General features: G+C 41.6%; 1 protein-coding gene across 2 annotated transcripts in view, besides 1 other annotated feature; it reads left to right on the top strand.

The window, feature by feature from the left end:
• Positions 13,932-14,041: an enhancer, noted in NCBI's record as "active region_1293". NCBI's record gives its function as "activates an Ori minimal core promoter by ATAC-STARR-seq in GM12878 lymphoblastoid cells {active_cell/tissue: GM12878}" and the evidence as "EXISTENCE:reporter gene assay evidence [ECO:0000049][PMID:35858748]".
• The window catches only part of GTF2B (general transcription factor IIB), a 38,935-nt gene continuing 33,489 nt past the window's right edge, over positions 14,217-19,662 (top strand). For both annotated transcript variants that reach the window (XR_007059241.1, NM_001514.6), the window contains exons 1-2: positions 14,217-14,301; positions 18,417-18,523. Coding sequence is in view for 1 of the 2 variants with exons in the window: in NM_001514.6 (NP_001505.1) it covers positions 14,285-14,301; positions 18,417-18,523 (124 nt within the window). In the remaining variant the exon portion in view is untranslated. The remainder of the gene's footprint in view (positions 14,302-18,416; positions 18,524-19,662) is intronic.

The following is a 19,662-nucleotide window of genomic DNA, read 5'->3' as shown; positions in this document are numbered from 1 at the left end:
TTGTATCAATTTATAATGTTGTGAGCAATGCAATACAGTAATAAGAGAAGCAGTTTTATTTTCTCATCACATGACCACACTTTATAATTAGTACTTTCAGAGTTTTAAGATTCAAATAATATTATATAATCTGCAAAGAGGTACTCATTTTACACAATAAGGCTTTTAGCACGTGATATTCACGGAAGCAATAAAAACGTAATACGAAAATTCATTCTTTAAGAAAGTAACAGGTCACATGAATATGAACATACTCTACCTTCTCATTTTCCCCCAGTAGCTCATCAGGGCACTTGATTAATAGGACTTTAAAGGCAAAAGGCAAACCTTATCTAGACTAAAATAAGCGTACTTGAGCCTGGGCGCGGTGGCTCATGCCTGTAATCCCAGCACTTTGGGAGGCCGAGGCAGCTGGATCACTTGAGGTCAGGAGTTCCAGACTACCCTAGCCAATATTGTGAAACCCTGTCTCTACTAAAAATACAAAAATTTGCTGGACATGGTGGCAGGCGCCTGTAATCCCAGCTACTGGGGAGGCTGAGGCTGGAGAACTGAAATGAGAAAGTTGTTATTTCGTGGAAAATATTAACTACAGGATGTATGATAAAACAACACTAAATAGTGTGGCAAAAGTTTTGAAGTCGTATACTTAATGCAAAATCATATCTTTTTGGAAAAAGATATTAATTTTAAAAGTCACAAGCTATTAATGTGAAACCTTTAGGGTTGTTTTGTTTTGTTTTTTTCTTATTTTCTTTTATCATCCCCATCCCCTGGCCTCCCTCTCCACTTATGAGTTTTGCTGTTTTTATAAGAGCAGTTTAGGTCTAAAAGAAAACCACTGCTCACTGAAAATTGAATTAAGAAGTGAATTAATTTCTAGCAATATTCCTCCCCAAATCTGTGAGGAGACAACAGTTAATATTTTCTATTTATAGATTATTAATGTTTTAAGACTATATTCTACCTCCCAGCACTTGGAGAAACTGCTGGCTTTTCCCAATGAAAAGTTAGATTTATTCTCACCTGGAAGACAATCCACCAATATTGGGAAACCAGATGTATTAGTCAGGGTTCCCTAGAGGGACAGAACTAATAGGAGACAGGATACATACATACATATATATATAAATATTATATATATATATTATATGTATAATATATGTAATATATATATAATATATATATTATATATTATACATATATTATATATATTTAATACATATATTATATATAATATATATAATATATATATAATATATAATATATATATTATATATATATATATATATATAAAGGGGAGTTTATTAAGTATTAACTTACATGATCAGAAGGTCCCACAATAGGCTGTCTGCAAGCTTAAGGAGCAAGGAGAGTCAGTCCGAGTCTCAAAACTGAAGAACTTGGAGTCTGATGTTTGAGCAGGAAACATCCAGCATGGGAGAAAGATGGAGGCTGGGAGCCTAGGCCAGTCTCACCTTTTCAGGTTTTTCTGCCTGCATTATGTTCACTGGCAGCTGACTAGATTGTGCCCACCAGATTAAGGGTAGGTCTGTCTTCCCCAGCCCCCTGACTTAAATGTTAATCTCTGGCGACACCCTCACAGACACACCCAGGAACAATACTTTGCATCCTTCAATCCAACCAAGTTGACACTCAGTATTAACCATCACAAGTCCACCCCTTGTCAACTTGAACCCATATGCATCTCTTGAGATCATACATAATCTTCAAATAAAGACAATAATAAGGTCATAATTACCCCTAACATAATACAACTATCCTTTGTACAACCGGAAATGCACCAATCCCCAATCCAAATACTCTTACATAAAGTTAACGATACTTAAATGCTGCCATGAAGTCAATAAATCTTATGTCACAAGATAAAGGAAAAGGAAATAAAATGAGGATATTTTCTTAGTGAAGTGTATACACGCACAAACATGTTTTTTAACAAAAGAAGGGAGAAATATTCATGAGAGCTATATTCCTCGTTGCTGCAGCTGGTCATGTGGTAGTAGCTGGTCTTGATGACTACATTCTTCTACTACCCATTTGATATTTTCTTTGCCTTCAGCAAGCACCTCAGCAGGCTGTGGTTTCTTTCCTAGTGGAGTGACCCAAACCTTCATCCCTGAGGGGTCTGGGCCATTTGTAGTCCTGCCTGGATTGAACTGTTGTAGTTTCCCATTGACCTTTATCACAGGGCATGGTAATACTAAGAGACACCCTAATGGATCTCCTGTATTCCATGCATACTCTTCCTTACCTCCATTATGGAGTAGTATATTGATTTAATCTTGATAGTCTGGATCAATCACCGCAGCCAACACTGTAACTTCCTTCTTAGCCTGTTGACTTAAAGGTAGCAGGAGCCCAAAGTGTCCAGGTGGCAATCTTAACTTCCAATTTAATGAAATCAGTGTTGTGTCTCCTGGTGGCAGCGTACCTCCCTCTGGAACTAAGACCTCTAGGCCAGCAGAAAGTAATGTCGCAGGAACAGGAAGCAAAAATGTTGCTAGTGGATCACTAGGGGTGATGGTGAGTGGTGCCACTTCCACTTCCTCCCCTTGATTCCTGGACGCATGAATCCTGGGTATGGGAAAAACAGTACCATACATTGGATACTGATTCAGAGCACACACGGCCTTCTGGAGAACTTTGCCCCAGGCCTGCAAAGTTTTGTCACCTAGTTGGCATCGTAATTGTGACTTCAAAAGGTCATTCCACCATTCTGTCAATCCAGCTGCTTCAGGATGATGGGGAACAAGGTAAGGCCAGTGAATTCCGTGAGCATAAGCCCACTACTGCACTTCTTTAGCCATAAAGTGAGTGCCTTGGTCAGAGGCAATGCTGTGTGGAATATCACGACAGTGGATAAGGCACTCTGTGAGTCCACGGGTGTTAGTCTTGGCAGAAGCATTGCGTGCAGGATAGACAAACCCATATCTGGAGTAAGTGTCTATTCTAGTGAGGACAAACCTCTGCCCTTTCCATGATGGAAGAGGTCCAATATAATCAACCTGCCACCAGGTGGCTGGCTGATCACCCCAAGGAATGGTGCCATATCAAGGGCTCAGTGTTGGTCTCTGCTGGTGGCAAATTGGGCATTCAGCAGTAGCTGTAGTCAAGTCAGCCTTCGTGAGTGGAAGTCCATTTTGTTGAGCCCATCCGTAACCTCCATTCCTGCCCCCATGGCCACTTTGTTCATGGGCCCATTGGGCGATGACAGGGGTGGCTGGGGGAAAGAGGCTGAGTGGCATCCACAGAAGGGGTTATCCACTTGATTATTAAAATCCTCCTCTGCTGAAATCATCCATTGGTGAGCACTCACATGGTATGCAAATGTCTTCACAGTTTTTCACCACTCAGAGAGGCCCATCAACATACCTCTTCCCCAAATTTCTTTGTCACCAATTTTCCAATCATGCTTCTTCCAAGTCCCTGACCATCCAGCCAAACCATTGGCTACAGCCCATTAATCAGTGTATAATTGCACATCTGGCCATTTCTACTTCCAGGCAAAGTGCGCAACCAGATGCACTGCTTGAAGTGCTGCCCACTGGGAAGATTTGGCTTCACCGCTGTCCTTTAGGGATGTCCTAGAAAGGGGCTGTAGTGCTGCAGCTGTCCACTTTCAGGTGGTGCCTGCATATCATGCAGAACCATCTGTGAACCAGGCCCTAGTCTTCTCTTCCTCTGTCAACTGATCATAGGGAACTCCCCATGAGGCCATCGGTGCAGGCTGGAGAAGAGAAGGCAGGGTGGCAGGAGTGGAGACCATGGGCATTTGAGCCACTTTCTCATGTAACTTATTTGTGCCTTCAGGACCTGCTCAAGCCTGACCACATATATGCCACTTCCATTTGATGATGGAATGCTGCTGTACACGACTCACTTTATAACTAGATGGGCCAGAAAGCACCCAGTTCATGATAGGCAGTTTAGGATGCATGGTGACTTCATGAGCCATAGTCAATCAGTTTCCACTAAAGCCCAGTAACAAGACAAGAGCTGTCTCTCAAAAGGAGAGTAATTATCTGCAGAAGATGGCAGGGCCCTGTTCCAAAATCCTAGAGGCCTTTACTGTGATTCACCTATGGGGGCTTGCAAAAGACTCCACACAGCATCCCTATCTGCCACTGACACCTCAAGCACCATTGGATCTGGTGAGTCATATGGCCCAAGTGGCAGTGCAGCTTTCACAGCAGCCTGGACCTGTTGCCGAGCCTTCTCCTGTTCTGAACCCCACTCAAAACTGGCAGCCTTTCGGATCACTCAATAAATGGGTCAGAGTAACACACCCAAATATGGAATGTGTTGCCTCCAAAATCTGGATAGGCCCACTAGGTGTTGTGCCTCCTTCTTGGTTGTAGGAGGGGCCAAATGCAGTAACTTACCCTTCAACTTAGAAGGAATATTTCGCCAGGCCCCACACCACTGGACCTCTAGAAATTTTACTAAGGTAGAAGATCCCTGAATTTTAGTCAGATTTATTTCCCATCTTCTGGCATGCAAATGTCTCACCAGTAAGTCCAGTGACTTCTTGCTCCTTGGATCCAATCAGCATAATGCCATCAACATAACGGACTAGTGTGATATATTACAGAAGCAAAAACCGATCAAGGTCTCTTCGAATAAGATTCTGACACAAAGCTGGAGAGTCGATATGCCCCTGAGGTAGGACAGTAAAGGTATACTGCTGGCCTTGCCAGCTGAAGGCAAATTGCTTCTGGTGAACCTTTTGGACAGGAATGGAGAAAAAGGCATTTGCCAAGTTAATGGCTCATACCAGGTACCAGGAGATATGTTAATTTGCTCAAGCAATGAAACCACATCTGGTACAGCAGCTGCAATTGGAGTCAGTGCTTGGTTAAACTTAATGATAATCCACTGTCATTCTCCAAGATCCATCCGTCTTCTGCACAGCCCAAATGCAAGAGTTGAATGGGGATGTGGTGGGAATCACCACCCCTGCACCTTTCAAGTCCTTGATGGTGGTACTAATCTCTGCAGCCCCTCCAGGGATGTGGTATTGTTTTTGATTTACTATTTTTCTAGGTAGAGGCAGCTCTAATGGCTTCTATTTGGCCTTTCCCAACATAATAGCCCTCACCCTACCAGTCAGGGAGCCAGTGCAGAGGTTCTGCTAGCTGCTAAGTCTGTCTATGCCAATTATCCATTATGGCACAGGGGAAATGACCACAGGATGAGTCCAGGGACCCACTGTAAGTCAGACATGAGCTAAAACTCCATTAATTAACTGACCCCTAGAAGTCCCTACTTTAACTGGAGAACCACATATGATGTTTTGGGTCCTCTGGAATCAATGTCAGCTCTTGGAGCCAGTGTCCAGTAGTCCCCGAAATGTCTGATCATTTCCCTTTCCCCAGTGCACAATTACCCTGGTAAAAGGCTGGAGGTCTCCTTGGGGAAGGGTGGGAGAAAAATTCACTGCATAAGTTGTCGGTAATGTAGTGGGGTCCTTCCTCAAGAGGACCCGGACTCCCCTTCCTTCAAGGGGTTCTGGGTCTGTGAACTGGCTCAAGTCTGGAAATTGATTGAGGTGCTGTCATTCTCTGTTTTTATAATTCAAATTAGTCTTCAGTCCATTCGACCTGAAAGTTTTCTGCTTACATAAATTAAGTAGGAATGCAGTAGGCTTCCTAACAATTTCACTTCTAGGAACACCGTGATTAATTAGCCAATGCCAGAGCTCTTCATGAGTCAGACTATTCTTATTGCTGCTTTGTCTCTGCTGCCCATTAGAGTAGCTACACCCACCTTGCCTTTGACGGTTGAGTGCCACCACTTGGTCCCTACCACCTCAGGATCCAATTATTCCCATTGTATTTAAATTTTCAGTTGGGTGCCTGCAGTTTCCACTGTTAGATCTGACATACAGAGAAGAGCAATTACAGGGCTCTTCAAAGATGCAGGTGCTGCCCTCACAAATCTATTTCGCAAAGAGTTGGTCTAAGGGTACATCTTCTGGACCCTCCCAGCTGGGATGAGTGGGTCTAAAGTGACTAGTCCACTCCACCATCCCAATCTCCCTAAGCCTTGGGATCCCTTCCTCTACATTAAACCAAGGGAGATCAGGCATTTCCAGCTCATTCACAGTGGGCCATCTTTTAATCCATCTTTCAGCTAACCAAGCAAATAAACTATTAGAACCTTTTTAAACTCCCTGAGCTGCAACATTAAATGTAGAGTCCCTATTTAGTGGGCCCAAATCAATAAATTCAGCCTGATCCAACTCTATGTTTCTTCCACCATTATCCCATACCCTTAATATTCATTCCCATGCCTGTTCTCCAGATTTCTGTTTATATAAATTAGAAAACTCAAGCAGTTCTTTTTGAGTATAGCACACCACCTCATAGTTCACACTCTGAACCTCACCTCTAGGGGCTCACTAGGACTTTAGTCTAATTATAGGTCTAGAAGCAAACAGGGGTGTTGGGGGTGGCTCCTGAGGAGAATCAACATTTTTTTTTGCCTGGCAACTGTCTCAGGAGAGGCCATCACTGTAACATCAGGCAGCACAGGGTTCATCTACTCAGACAAAGGTGCAAAGGCTGATGGCAGCATGTGTCAGGGAGGGGATGTTGCCACTACTGGAGATGGAAAAGCTGATTCTTCTGGCAAACAAGGTTCATCAGAGTTTACAAACTCAGTGTCCCCAGCTTCATCAGGGTCCTCCCACATGTCCCCATTCCAAGTTGCAGGGTCCCATTATTTTCCAATCAATCTCACTTTAACAGTAGACACCTGGTGAGGCTGTGCATGCACCTTTCATTGCATGTCAGTCACTCACATAAGAGCTTGTGTCTGTTTTTCCACAATTTCAACTCTTTCTTTACAGGACATAAGACTCTTACTCAGGCGGGGCATGGTGGCTCACACCTGTAATCCTAGCACTTTGGGAGGCTGAGGCAGGCGGATCACAAGGTCAGGAGTTCAAGACCAGCTTGACCAACATGGTGAAACCCCATCTCTACTAAAAATACAAAAATTAGCCGGGCATGGTGGCGCATGCCTATAATCCCAGCTACTCAGGAGGCTGAGGCAGGAGAACCGCTTGAACCCGGAAGCAGAGGTTGCAGTGAGCTGAGATTGCACCAGTGCACTCCAGCCTAGGCGACAGAGCAAGACTCTGTCTCAAAAAAAACAAGACTCTCACTCAGGACAATCTTAGCAGATTTGAGGCTCAATATCTGCTTCTGAAGCCAGGAGACAGAATTCCTAAGTTCATCATTTTCTTTCATCACTTTGTCCACTGAACTTAGGAGCAACCAACCAGCTTCATAATGTTCCTTGGTTCTCCACATATGGTCAAAGGTATTATGTATAGAGTCACTAAACTTCTTGCCTCTCATGAGCAGTGAATCCGAGTGCCAAATGCATTTCTCTAAACAGTTCACACCAAGTACTATCAGTGTTCTCCACACTATTAGAAGTAGAGTCCTTAGCAATTTTGGGTGTAATCATATTAAGCAGCCAACTCCAGAAACCCAAAAACCAACGAAAGAACTCCATCCTTAATATTCTGTTCCTCTAGAACCATTCCTGGTACTAAAATCTGTATTAGTCAGAGTTCCCTAGAGGGACAGAACTAACTATATATACGTATATATACATATATATATATACACACACACACATATATACACATATATATACACATATATACACACATATATATATATACACACACACACTAACTATATGTGTATATACAGGATTTTATTAAGTATTAACTTAGACGATCAGAAGGTCCCACAATAGGCTGACTGCAAGCTTGAGGAGCAAGGAGAGCCAATCCAAAGCTCAAAACTGAAGAACTTGGAGTCTGATGTTTGACAGCAGGAAGCACCCAGCACAGGAGAAAGATGGAGGCTGGGAGGCTAGGCCAGTCTCGCCTTTTCAGGATTTTCTGCCTGCTTTATAGCAGCTGGCAGCTGACTAGATTGTGACCACCAGATTAAGGGTGGGTCTGTCTTCCCCAGCCCCCTGACTTAAATGTTAATCTCCTTTGGTGACACTCTCACAGACACACCCAGGATCAATAGTTTGGCATGCTTCAATCCAATCAAGTTGACACTTAGTATTAACCACCACACCAGAGTTTCAAATAAATCTGTAAAGAAACAAATACAACAGTTAAATTCAGGATCACACATGCAAGTACATTTAGCAATGGGATATGAGCCAAGCACATTTCAGTTTAGGGAGCACATGATCCGACAAACACAAGTGTCCTTGTGCAGACAACTGCCTAGAATATTTTGGATCACAGCTGCCCCATAAAATCAAGTCCACATGATTGCTGCAGTTACACTTCTTGTGGAATCTATTTCTTGATCTTAAAATCGGTGTATCTATATTTCCGCACATTGTATTGCTATTAGGAGATATACTACATGGATTCTGGTGCCAATTTGTCAGGGCTGCAATCCCAGCTCTGCCATTTACTAGCTATGTAACTCAGGCTAGTTCCTTAACCATTCTGTACCTCACTTTCTCCATCTGTGAAGTGGGAACAATAATGGTACTCAACTTACAAAGTTGTTGGAAAGACTGAATGAGTTAATATATGCAAAGCCTTAAAATAGTACCTGGCACATAAATAAATACTATATGAATGATTGCTACTATTCTTAATATCACGATTATTAATTTTGATTACTACTTCTACCTAAATTTAAATACAATTTTATAGCCCTTATTTAAAAATCAAAAAGATGGTAAATACTTCTACAAATATAATCTGTATTTTCCACAGCACAGTAATTTGGGCCTTAAAATATAGTCTTGCAATCACAGTTACATGGTATGCATGCATAGAAACAGGAAAATTTTATTTTATTTTATTTATTTATTTTGAGACAGAGTCTTGCTCTGTCACCCAGGCTGGAGTGCAGTGGTGCGATCTCAGCTCACTGAAATCTCTGCCTCCTGAGTTCAAGTGATTCTCCTCCCTCAGCCTTCCTAGTAGCTGGGACTACAGGTGCCCACCACCACACCCGGCTAATGTTTGTACTTTTAGTAGAGATGAGGTTTCACCATATTAGCCAGGCTGGTCTCAAACTCCTGACCTTGTGATCCGCCCACCTTGGCCTCCCAAAGTGCTGGGATTACAGGCGTGAGCCACTGTGCCCAGCCTATTTTATTTTATTTTATTTAGACAGAGTTTCACTTTGTGCCCAGGCTGGAGTGCAGTGGCATGATCTCAGCTCACTGCAGCCTCAACTTCCTTGAACTCAGGTGATCCTCCCACCTCAGCCTCCCAAGTAGCTAGGACTACAGGGACGTGCCACCACACCGGGCTAATTTTTATATTTTTTGTAGAGATGGGGTTTCTTTATGTTAGCCAGGCTGGTCTTAAACTCCTGGGCTGAAATGATCCTCCCTCCTTGGCCTCCCAAAGTGCTGGGACTACAGGAGTGAGCCACCATGGGCAGCCATAAGCAGGAAAACTTTAGAATCAGTCGTTTCTGGCTGTGAATTCTACCTACATCACTAACTTATTGTGTGACCCTGGGAAATTTACCTACTTGACCTCTCTAAGCCTTTAGAAGCAAAATAATAATAATACTTGCCTGACAAGATAACCAAGAAGTAGCTAAGATAAAATGTGAAGTGCCTGGCAGAGGCCTGATGCATAAAGACCTGGATGGAGCCTACTTCAAATAACTCAACTATTTCTTGTAGCTTCTCCAGGGACCCTCTTTTTTTCACTCTCTGGCTCCCTCCCACCAAGCTTCTACTACACAGCATTAGGTGTGTGAGGAATGTATTATTCTTAAAAATAGAAAAGTGTAGCTGTCCTATTTTTAAGAATACAACCTTGGACACCTGTACTGCAAAACCTGCATGTTAGAGATCTATTCCACTCAGAAAAAAAGAAAAAGAAAAACTTAGATGCAGACATAATAAAGCCAACTTCCAAATGATGAGCAATCTGCATTGCTCTCCAATTTCTATGATGCTCCACCAGCCTCCCAGTCCCTTCGCCTCTATGCACTGCAATGCAGGTACCCTCATAATACTGTGGAGGGGCAAGTAGGGGTGAGGGATAGTTCTCATATTGGAAGGGTGAAATTTGGCTTCCAGACCCCATTGCACTGCCTCGGCTTCAGCAGGGACTTACTCTTTTGCTTGGTGAAACCAAACCAAGAAGCAGGCCCAGGACCACCTCCAGCTGAAAACTTGGTGTGTTAAGATATCACTGGTGACTTGGTAAGTATTATATTGCTATGTAAAAAAGGTTTAAAAGTCCGTATTTCTAAGAGATGTACATAAATGTATATATGGGTTCAGGTAATAGATAAACTTTGTTTTAAAATAATTCAGCAAACGGAGAAGTAAAGAGAAGGATACATGAAACAAATGTGTCAACATCTTGATAACTGTGTAATCAGGATGATGGGTATGATGGGGATTTATAATATTATTCCCATTATTCTGTCCCATTTTTGTGTTTGAACATTCTCAAACATAATTTTAAAATCTGAGAAATTTAAAAAACCTTCACATTTTTAGGAACAATACATATGGTCTTATAGCCACCAGGCACATGAGGCTTGTCTAATATCCTAGGCATCTTTTTCCATCTCCAAAAGAGTCTAGTAGGATCTGGTCTGTTCATACATTCCATCAAATCCTCTGTTCTTCCTAGTCCAAGAGGATATGTCTTTTAATTTCCAAACAAATATTTCTGAAGCCTTGCTTAAGTTGGGGAATTGCCATCTTCTCCAACATCACCATGCAGACACTTAAAAATGTTTTCAAAAGTGAAACCATGAGGTAAATCTAATGACCCTCTAAAACATTATGACAGGTAAAATAATCCAGACACAAAAGACGACGTATCATATGATTCCATTTATATGAAAAGCCCAAGAAAGGCAAATCCATAGAGACAGAGAGTAGATTAGAGGGTCATGGGGCTGGAAATGGGATAGGCATATAATGTAAATGGGCATAAAAGATCGTATTGGGATGATGGAAATGTGCTAAAACAGGATTGCGGGGATGGTTGTACAACTCAGTTGCCAAAAATCATTAAATTTTAAACAGGTGAATTTTACTATATGTAATTATATCTCAATAAAGTTGATTTTTAAAAAAGAAATCTAGCTAGGTCACAAGCATTTTTTTTTTTTTTTAGATGGAGTCTCGCTCTGACACCCAGGCTGGAGTGCAGTGGTGCAATCTTGGTTCACTGCAACCTCCACCTCCTGGGTTCAAGCGATTCTCCTGCCTCAGCCTCCCAAGTAGCTGGGACTACAGGTGTGTGTCAACACACCTGGCTAATTTCTGTATTTTTGGGAGAGACAGGGTTTCACCATGTTGGCCAGGCTGGTCTTGAACTCCTGACCTCAGGTGATCCACCTGCCTCGGCCTCCCAACGTGCTGGGATTACAGGCGTGATTCACGATGCCAGGTGGGTCACAAGCATTTTTAAATCATTTATTAGTCATGTAAAACATTTTATACTTAAAATGAACTATAGCACATCAACTTGAGATTTCACAGTAGTGATATAAACTTTTCGAATAACTTTCTAAGTAAAAAGATGAATTAATTTAAACCATTGCTTTAAATCATTTTAATTTACATAATTAATTTAAGTAACAATTATTATACAAACCAGAAGTTTTGGTGAATGCTAGTTAGGTTATTGGTTCCCAAGTGATAAAACCCCAGCTCTGTGTGTGTGTGTGTGTGTGTGTGTGTGTGTGTGTATTTTAACCTCAAGATCAATAATAAATATTAAATGGGATTATGTTGATTAAAATGCTTTGTAAATTTCCAGTGCTGTACTAACAAAAGAAAACGAATGGCTTACCTAAGGTGCCTTCTATTTTAATACAAAAGAAATTCTTACAAGTTTATGACAGACAAGAGACTCTCCAGGTGGGGCAGGAGTTAATTTAACCAGTAGTGCTGCCTCCCTTTTCTAGGGTTTCAATTTCTTCCTTCAACAAACATTATTGAATGCCTACCATGAATCCACTAGGTGCAGGTCCATGTTCTGGATCCTTAAGAGATGCACAGTTGTCTTATTCCTCCTCTTCCTCCAAGTTAAGATGCTTTACTATGAAACCTCTACTGGACTGAGGTGCAGCACCCCCAAGCCCTTTCCTGGTTGCACTTGACAAAAATATTGAGGGAGGAAAAAACCCCCACAAGAGTACAGTCAAGTTTTTAAAATTACAGAATTACAAAATAGAAGATTGGGATTGGGAAAGAAAAAAGAAATCATGCTCCCCGGTTCCCACCTAGATTTGAGTTCCTAAAATCCTGCCTCTCGCACCCCTTTTTCTTTCTAAGGAAGCTAGTATCTCCCACCTTCTCAAGAAAACAGTGAGTGCTCCATTACATTTAAATCCCATCCCCAGATGAAGGAAGCAGTCATTATCTTCTAAGTTCTCAGCCCCATGAAAACCACCATGAAAATACCAATCCCCGTATTTTCAAGAATAGTTGTCAGCAAAGTGTTGCCGCAGGAGAATACTGTCTGAAGGCAGGGAACCTAAGGCAGATTCACACTGATTTCCTAGAACTAAATCAAATGGAAAACCCCGGCCGGGCGCGGTGGCTCACGCCTGTAATCCCAGCACTTTGGGAGGCCAAGGCGGGCGGATGACGAGGTCAGGAGATCAAGACCATCCTGGCTAACAGGGTGAAACCCCGTCTCTACTAAAAATACAAAAACAAAATTAGCCGGGCGTGGTGGCAGGCTCCTGTAGTCCCAGCTACTCGGGAGGCTGAGGCAGGAGAATGGCGTGAACCTGGCAGGCGGAGCTTGCAGTGAGCCCAGATCGCGCCACTGCACTCCAGCCTGGGCGACAGAGCAAGACTCCGTCTCAAAAAAAAAAAAAAAAAAGGAAAACCCCAACTTTCCACACCTAAGTAACAAAAGAACCAGACGTTACTCCCTTTGCAACCCCCTCCCCACTACACAACCACACACACACACACACACACACACACACACACTTTAGCCGTGTGGCAGATGTGAAATTGAAAGTATCTCTGATTCGTTGCTTTCTGCAACCAATCAGACGCTTGCATAGGAGTGTAACTTTGTAACTTCACTTTAGCCTCTGATTGGTTGCTTTCCACAACCAATCAGACTGATTGTGGAGCCACTACTTCATTTACATAGGGTGTACACCATGTAACCAATGGGAAACCTCTAGAGGGTATTTAAACCCCCGAAAATTCTGCAAAAGGAGTCTTGAGCTGGTATTACCTTTTCGTTTTCAATAAATCTCTGCCTTTATTCCTTCATTCTTTCCTTAGTTTGTGCGTTGTGTCCAGTTCTTTGTTCAAAACGCCAAGAACGTGAATACTCTCCACCGGTAACTGTTATTGTTGTTAGTAATAGTGGTATTACAATTTTGACGTTAGTTTGGCTAATTAATAAATCTAGGGATATTTTGCAATATCTAGATGTTCTCGCAAGTTTTCTATATGTAGCTATCAGCCAACGTTACAAAGGCCGTGAAAAAAAAATGATCAGAGCATGGCCCATATCGTCGTGCCTCTTGTGTACACATTGGTTTCACGTAGTTTTGTTTCATCTTCTGCCAATTCTAAAAGGGTATGCAAGGCAAGATACCATAACCTATATAAACTTACATGACCTGTATAAAGGACGTGCCTAAGAAGACAACATGCTAGCTGATGACAGATCCTGAACAGACACCTGTTCTGGATGACCTAAGTGAGTTTCTCCTTTTATTTCAAATTTCTTAGAAAGAATCACCCTTGGGGCACGTAAGAACTGGCTCAAATGGGAGTGCCTGACGCGGGGTGGGGGGCTGGGGGCGGGGTAGGTGGTGGCCGTGAGAAGGTAGCCGTGAGAAGGTGGGAGAGGAAGGGGTGGTTAAACTATTAGGGATGCAGGCTTTGGCACCACTACGAAGCCAGGGTTTTCTTTGTGTTTTAACTGTCAGATTGAGAGTAGCTCTGTTGTAGCCCCTTTGCAGGGTTCCCATGAGACTTTTCCTAGGTAGTTACGTTGACTCGCTTAGCAACATAGCAAATTACAGAAACGGAGTAAGAACGTAAGAAATCGCAAAGCACGTGACGTATGGGATCTCACTGTTCTTGGCCCTTCTCCCGACCCGTAGCCCTGCTCTGCTACGACTGCGTGGGTGAGTCGTCTATAAAAACTCATCTCTGCGCGTCTCTTCGCCACATTCGCTTCCTGCTTTCGGTGTGTCTGTTGTGTCTTGTTGCGGGCACCGCAGTCGCCGTGAAGATGGCGTCTACCAGCCGGTTAGTATGTCCCGCCGAGCCCGGCGAGCTGAGGGGCGGGCGCGAGCGCCGCCGGCTTTTAGGCGGCCTCCGGGCAGCCTCGTAGGGCTGAGCGCCTAGGGGTATGGGAGAGAAGCGGCGGGACTGGCCGACGGGCCGGGACAAAGGCACTTCCAGACGGCAGGACTGTCAGGGTGTCGCAGGGGTTACCGAGCTGTTGACGTTATTGCCCTGGAGTCTTATGTAGATATCACCCTATGTGGGTCCTGGTGGGCTACTGTGTCCCCAGTCCTTGCCCTCGTATCTTTTCCCAATATTTCAATCTCCCTTTATTTTCTCTTCTTCCCACCCTCCCTCCTCTCCTCCCCCGCGCCCCCCCCCCCGCTTGTTTTTTTCATCTACGGCCCAAACAACCCGAGGGTCCGTAATTTCTCCTTTTCAAAGGAACGGGAAACAGTTAGTTTCAGGTTCCTATCGATCTGACAGCTAGGAAGTTGGGAACGTCAGCATTGGTAAGCCAGATGGAACCTGGTTGGTTACCATCACAGCGGGCCTCGGAAGTGGAAGCTAGAGCCATCGGAAGAGTTGATTAGTTCCCTGCTAAAGGATTTGTTTACAAATATCGTTGCCTGTGTACTTCTGAAGAAAATCTTGCCAAAGAAAATTAGTTATATGTGCTGGGAGGTCGCTTTTTAGTATATATTTAAGAATGCAGTGTACTCATATCTACAGGAAATGCATGCAGTACCCTCAGAAACAGCCTTTAATCTTGTGACCTGAAAAATGCTTGCAGACCCTAATTATGTCTCTCATTACCACTGTGAGGTAGATATTAGTATTTTTGCATAAGTGTAAACTGAGTCATGCCAATGTTGACTTTTCCAAGAGTCGTGTTAGAGTGTAGAGTCTAAGACAACCTGTTTCCTGTTATCCACACCTGGCCTTTGGTTAACTAATCCTGTGTTGAAAGTATCAAATTAATTCTACAGCTTCTGGAACTCTGGCACTATTTTTCTGACCCTGCTATCATCTGTGGAATTGGTTAATTTCACAGTGAAAGCCATTTTTACAAAATAGCCTTTTCTGGTAACTGCCAAGACTTACATTTTATGATTAGAAAAGGAATTTGGGGTGGGAGGCAGCTTTAGCTAATATACTGTTTGAACAGAACTCATAAAGCCAGTGACACTCTTGTTTACTGATTCTGATTCTTGGATTGGATGCTCAGTCATTCTATCTGGGTGTTGTTCTGTCGGGTAAGGCCTCCTTGTAGGTAAATGGAAAACTTGGGCTCCCCAGATCACTCAAATACGACTTAAAATTCTACCATGGCTTTTTTTTTTTTTAATTCTATCATGGCTTTTTAAGTCTGAAATTTTTTTCTAGATATGTGCAATTTATGTATCATAGCAGTTATTGCTCAAGTTTTTCTATCAGTGACAACAAAGAAAGTTAAATGCAGTATTTTTTATTTTATGGAACAGGCCTGGGCTGAAGTGTAGGTGGCACGATCATGGCTCACTGCAGCCATGACCTCCCCAGTTCAAGTGATCCTCCCACCTCAGCCTTCTGAGTAGCTGGGACCATAGGTACACACCACGTGCCTGGCTAATTTTTTTATTTTTAAATTTTATTAATTTTTATTTTTGTGGAGACAAGGCCTAGTTACATTGCCCAGGCTGGTCCTGAACTCCTGGGTCCAAGCAGTCCTCCGGCTTTGGCCTACCAAAGTGCTGTGGTAACAGGCATGAGCCACTGCGCCCAGCCTAAATATAATATTTCTACCTTTTGCATGTTTTTCCCTCAGGAAGGTGTATTGTCACTAGGCCATGAAACTGGCTGGTGTCCTCACAGAGGAGTACAAATGTTCTGAGTTCAAATGTAAGCTCCGCCACTTATTAGTTCCATGACTTCAGGCAAATCATTCTCTGAGCATAATTTTTTAAATGTGAAATAGTGCCTTTCTTGCAGGATTGTTGTGGAGATTGACAATAATAAATGTATAACACAAGTAATACAGTCCATGCCCAATAAATGATAGCTATAAAATGGGGTTTGGGATTATCTGGTACTTGAGTAGTCTCGAATCGTTTTAATGTCAGTGGTGGTGGTTTCTCTATTCCTCCCTATTGTTTCTCTCTGTTACCACCTTCACCACCCCATTTGTATGGTTCCTCTTCTGTATTGTGGGTAATTTGATTAAGTTTACTAATTTAGCATACTTTTATTTTGATAGGTAACACATACAAATGGTCCAAAAGCAAAATTGCAATAGACTAAAACCATGAAAAGTAGTCTTCCTCCTTTCCTAGCTCCCAGCCATCTAAGTCTCCCTGGATCAGCCATAATTACTAGTCTCTTGGTGTTTTCCTAGTGTTTATGCTTTAACAAATGTATAGGAATAGTTCTAACCTCTCTTCCCCCACGAAAGTGACCTAATTTAAACTCCATTCACTACCTTGCTTTTACCTTTTTTTAATGAAGTTAGCACATTTTAAAAGTGGGCAGCTCAGTTACAAAGTGAGCACATACATATAGCTCCTACCCAGGTAAGGAAATCAGATACCACTAGCACTAGCTAAGACACTAGCAAAGTCTCTGTCCTCAGTCATTCCCCCTCCTTTGAGAAAACCACATCCTGATTTCTAACTCCATCAATTCATTTGGCCTGCTTTAAAGTTGTCATAAATGGCATATGTATTCTGCTGTCTAGATTCTGTTAGTATTTTGAGGTTCATCCATGTTATGGTGTATGGTTAGTTCATACTTTTCAGCTTTGTATAGGTTTTCTACCTTATTCTTCACTCTTCATATCTTTGAGATGTTTCTGTATCATTACACAAACTATAGTTTTCTATCTACTTTTTAATACTGCAGAGATATTAGTTCTTAGCACGTGTTGCACATGGCCTCCTCTTTTACTAATTTGTAATTACTGTTACTCTGCTAACATTTTCCTTTATTTCAACATGGTTTTTCATAATTTATATCAACTGTTTAATTTTATTTGTCATAATTTATTAAAATACTTTCCTTAGAGGAATTTATGGAATAAACACAAATATGAAGTAATACTCATCCCCCCGTGTTCCCAATGAGAAGATTCAAGACATATTCTAGTTAAGCTGACTAGATAAGTTTAGGGGGGAATATGGATTATTTTATCAGTTTTCCCGTAGATATCACCTTCTGAGTTGAGAGTTAACATTCTGAATTGTATTTGCTAGCATGAGAAACTTTACCCCAAACCACAAATACTATTTACATACTATAAGAACAGTTGATTTTGTCTTTTACGTGTATCTGATGTCCATAACCTAACCATTTATTGTATTTCAGATGGTTTTTAAAAGGGCCTTATTTGCAGTGATACCAAGAATTTATGATTGTGAGGTCATACCCCCTGAAATAATGATCAAATCTTTGTTGCTTTTACAGCTGATTCTGTCAGATCATTTAAGATTAATGTGTCAAAAAAAGATGAATGTGTCTTCTGCAAACTGCTTTGTTGTTCAAAATAAATTGAGCTAATTATTAATATCACAGATAACAAGTAGCTTTTGAAACAATTTCTTGAATGATAAATTCAATAACTCAATTCTGGACTAAAGGAAATCATCAAGTCTTAAGTTCAGCAGAGCAACTTCTACCATCCCTCATTTCTATACTTACTGGGTTCAGTGTACTATTTAAATCTGTTACTAAAGTAGTTAACAAGTAGAAAAATACAGAGAGAAATTGTTCTCTGACTAGAGAAATAAGTGGCAAAGAGCACAAACTGGATGGTAATGTAAATGCTGCAGGTTATTACGGTAACTAGTCATTACTATACTAATCAACATTTCTAAAAGTCTTACTGGCATACATATTGAGAGAAGAAACAATTATTTTCTATTTATGTTTTGAAAGCCTTCCACAATAAAATAAGAATTCCAGTGGAAACTACTTGCCAGTTACTAGCTGGAATTTAAAATAACCTAACTGGGATGTTTACTTTGAAAATCTAGCTTATATGTGTTACAGTTGTATGTATGAAAAAACGTTCACAATCTTTGTCTTCCCCATCCCCCATCCCAGAAGATTAATTTGATACATGTTGGTTGGGAAGATGTAAAAATACAACTTTTTTCTTTTAGTTTGGATGCTCTTCCAAGAGTCACATGTCCAAACCATCCAGATGCGATTTTAGTGGAGGACTACAGAGCCGGTGATATGATCTGTCCTGAATGTGGCTTGGTTGTAGGTGAGTTGTTATTATGGTTTTAATTTAAATTACTGTTCAGGAGGCCAAGCATGGTGGCTCACGCCTGTAATTCCAGCACTTCGGGAGGCCAAGGTGGGAGGATCACCTGAGGTCAGGAGTTCGAGACCAGCCTGACCAACATGAAGAAACCCCATCTCTACTGAAAATACAAAAACTAGCCGGGCGTAGTGGTGGGCACCTGTAATCCCAACTGCCCAGGAGGCTGAGGTAGGAGAATGGCTTGAACCCAGGAGGCGGAGGTTGCAGTGAGCCGAGATCGTGCCACTGCACTCTAGCCCGAGCAACAGAGCAAGACTCCGTCTCAAAAAAAAAATAATAATAATAATAATGTTTAGGGTCCTTCACTTTTGCATAGTTTCCAAACTATCATTTAATGAACACATTTTTGACTTTCTTCCCCAACAAATAATTTATTGCAAAAAAACAATTAGGAAACAGAAACGAGTAAACTTATTCAGAGATATATTTTATTGTATATCCAAATGTATATTTTTATAATGTGGGGTGGGAGCTAATCCAGAAGAAACGAAAAGGCCCCAGTAATTTCATAAGTCCTTAGTCTGAAATATTTGGTAGAGGACTGGAGAGATGGGCTGACACTCATGCATATTAAATAATGAATACATGTAATCAAACTTTTGTGGCTTTTTTATACATTGGGAAGTAGATAAACATGATTTTTGAGTCCCACTTAAAGCCTTTTAGTCAAAAAGAAGATTTATTATAACTTTTATACAGTCATCTATTGATGAATATCTTGTATAAAATTATTGCCAAAAATAACACTTAAAGTTTCACCTTGTTCCTACTTGCACACTAATCTAGATATGCAGCAGAACTTTAGACTACAGATAGTCTGTTCAAAAATTATTCTTGTGGTGGAGTTGTAGCATCTGAGAATAGGGGTAATATTTAGCAGTTTGAATTACTTAAGAATGAAAATTCTAGAAGGATTGTGGGCAGTATAACAGAAGCATTAGTAGTGGCATACTGTGGACTTGACTTACTTGGTCCAAGAAGGCTGCTTGCCTCAGACCTATAGTGGGAGTTTTAAAGTATAGAGTTGCTAATAGGAATTGAGAATCATTTGCAACCGTATTCTGCTGAGTAAGGAATAT

The sequence above is a fragment of the Homo sapiens genome, chromosome 1 (assembly GCF_000001405.40).
Source record: "Homo sapiens chromosome 1, GRCh38.p14 Primary Assembly".
NCBI classification, from domain to species: Eukaryota; Metazoa; Chordata; class Mammalia; order Primates; family Hominidae; genus Homo; species Homo sapiens.
This window is presented reverse-complemented; position numbering and strand designations above follow the sequence as displayed.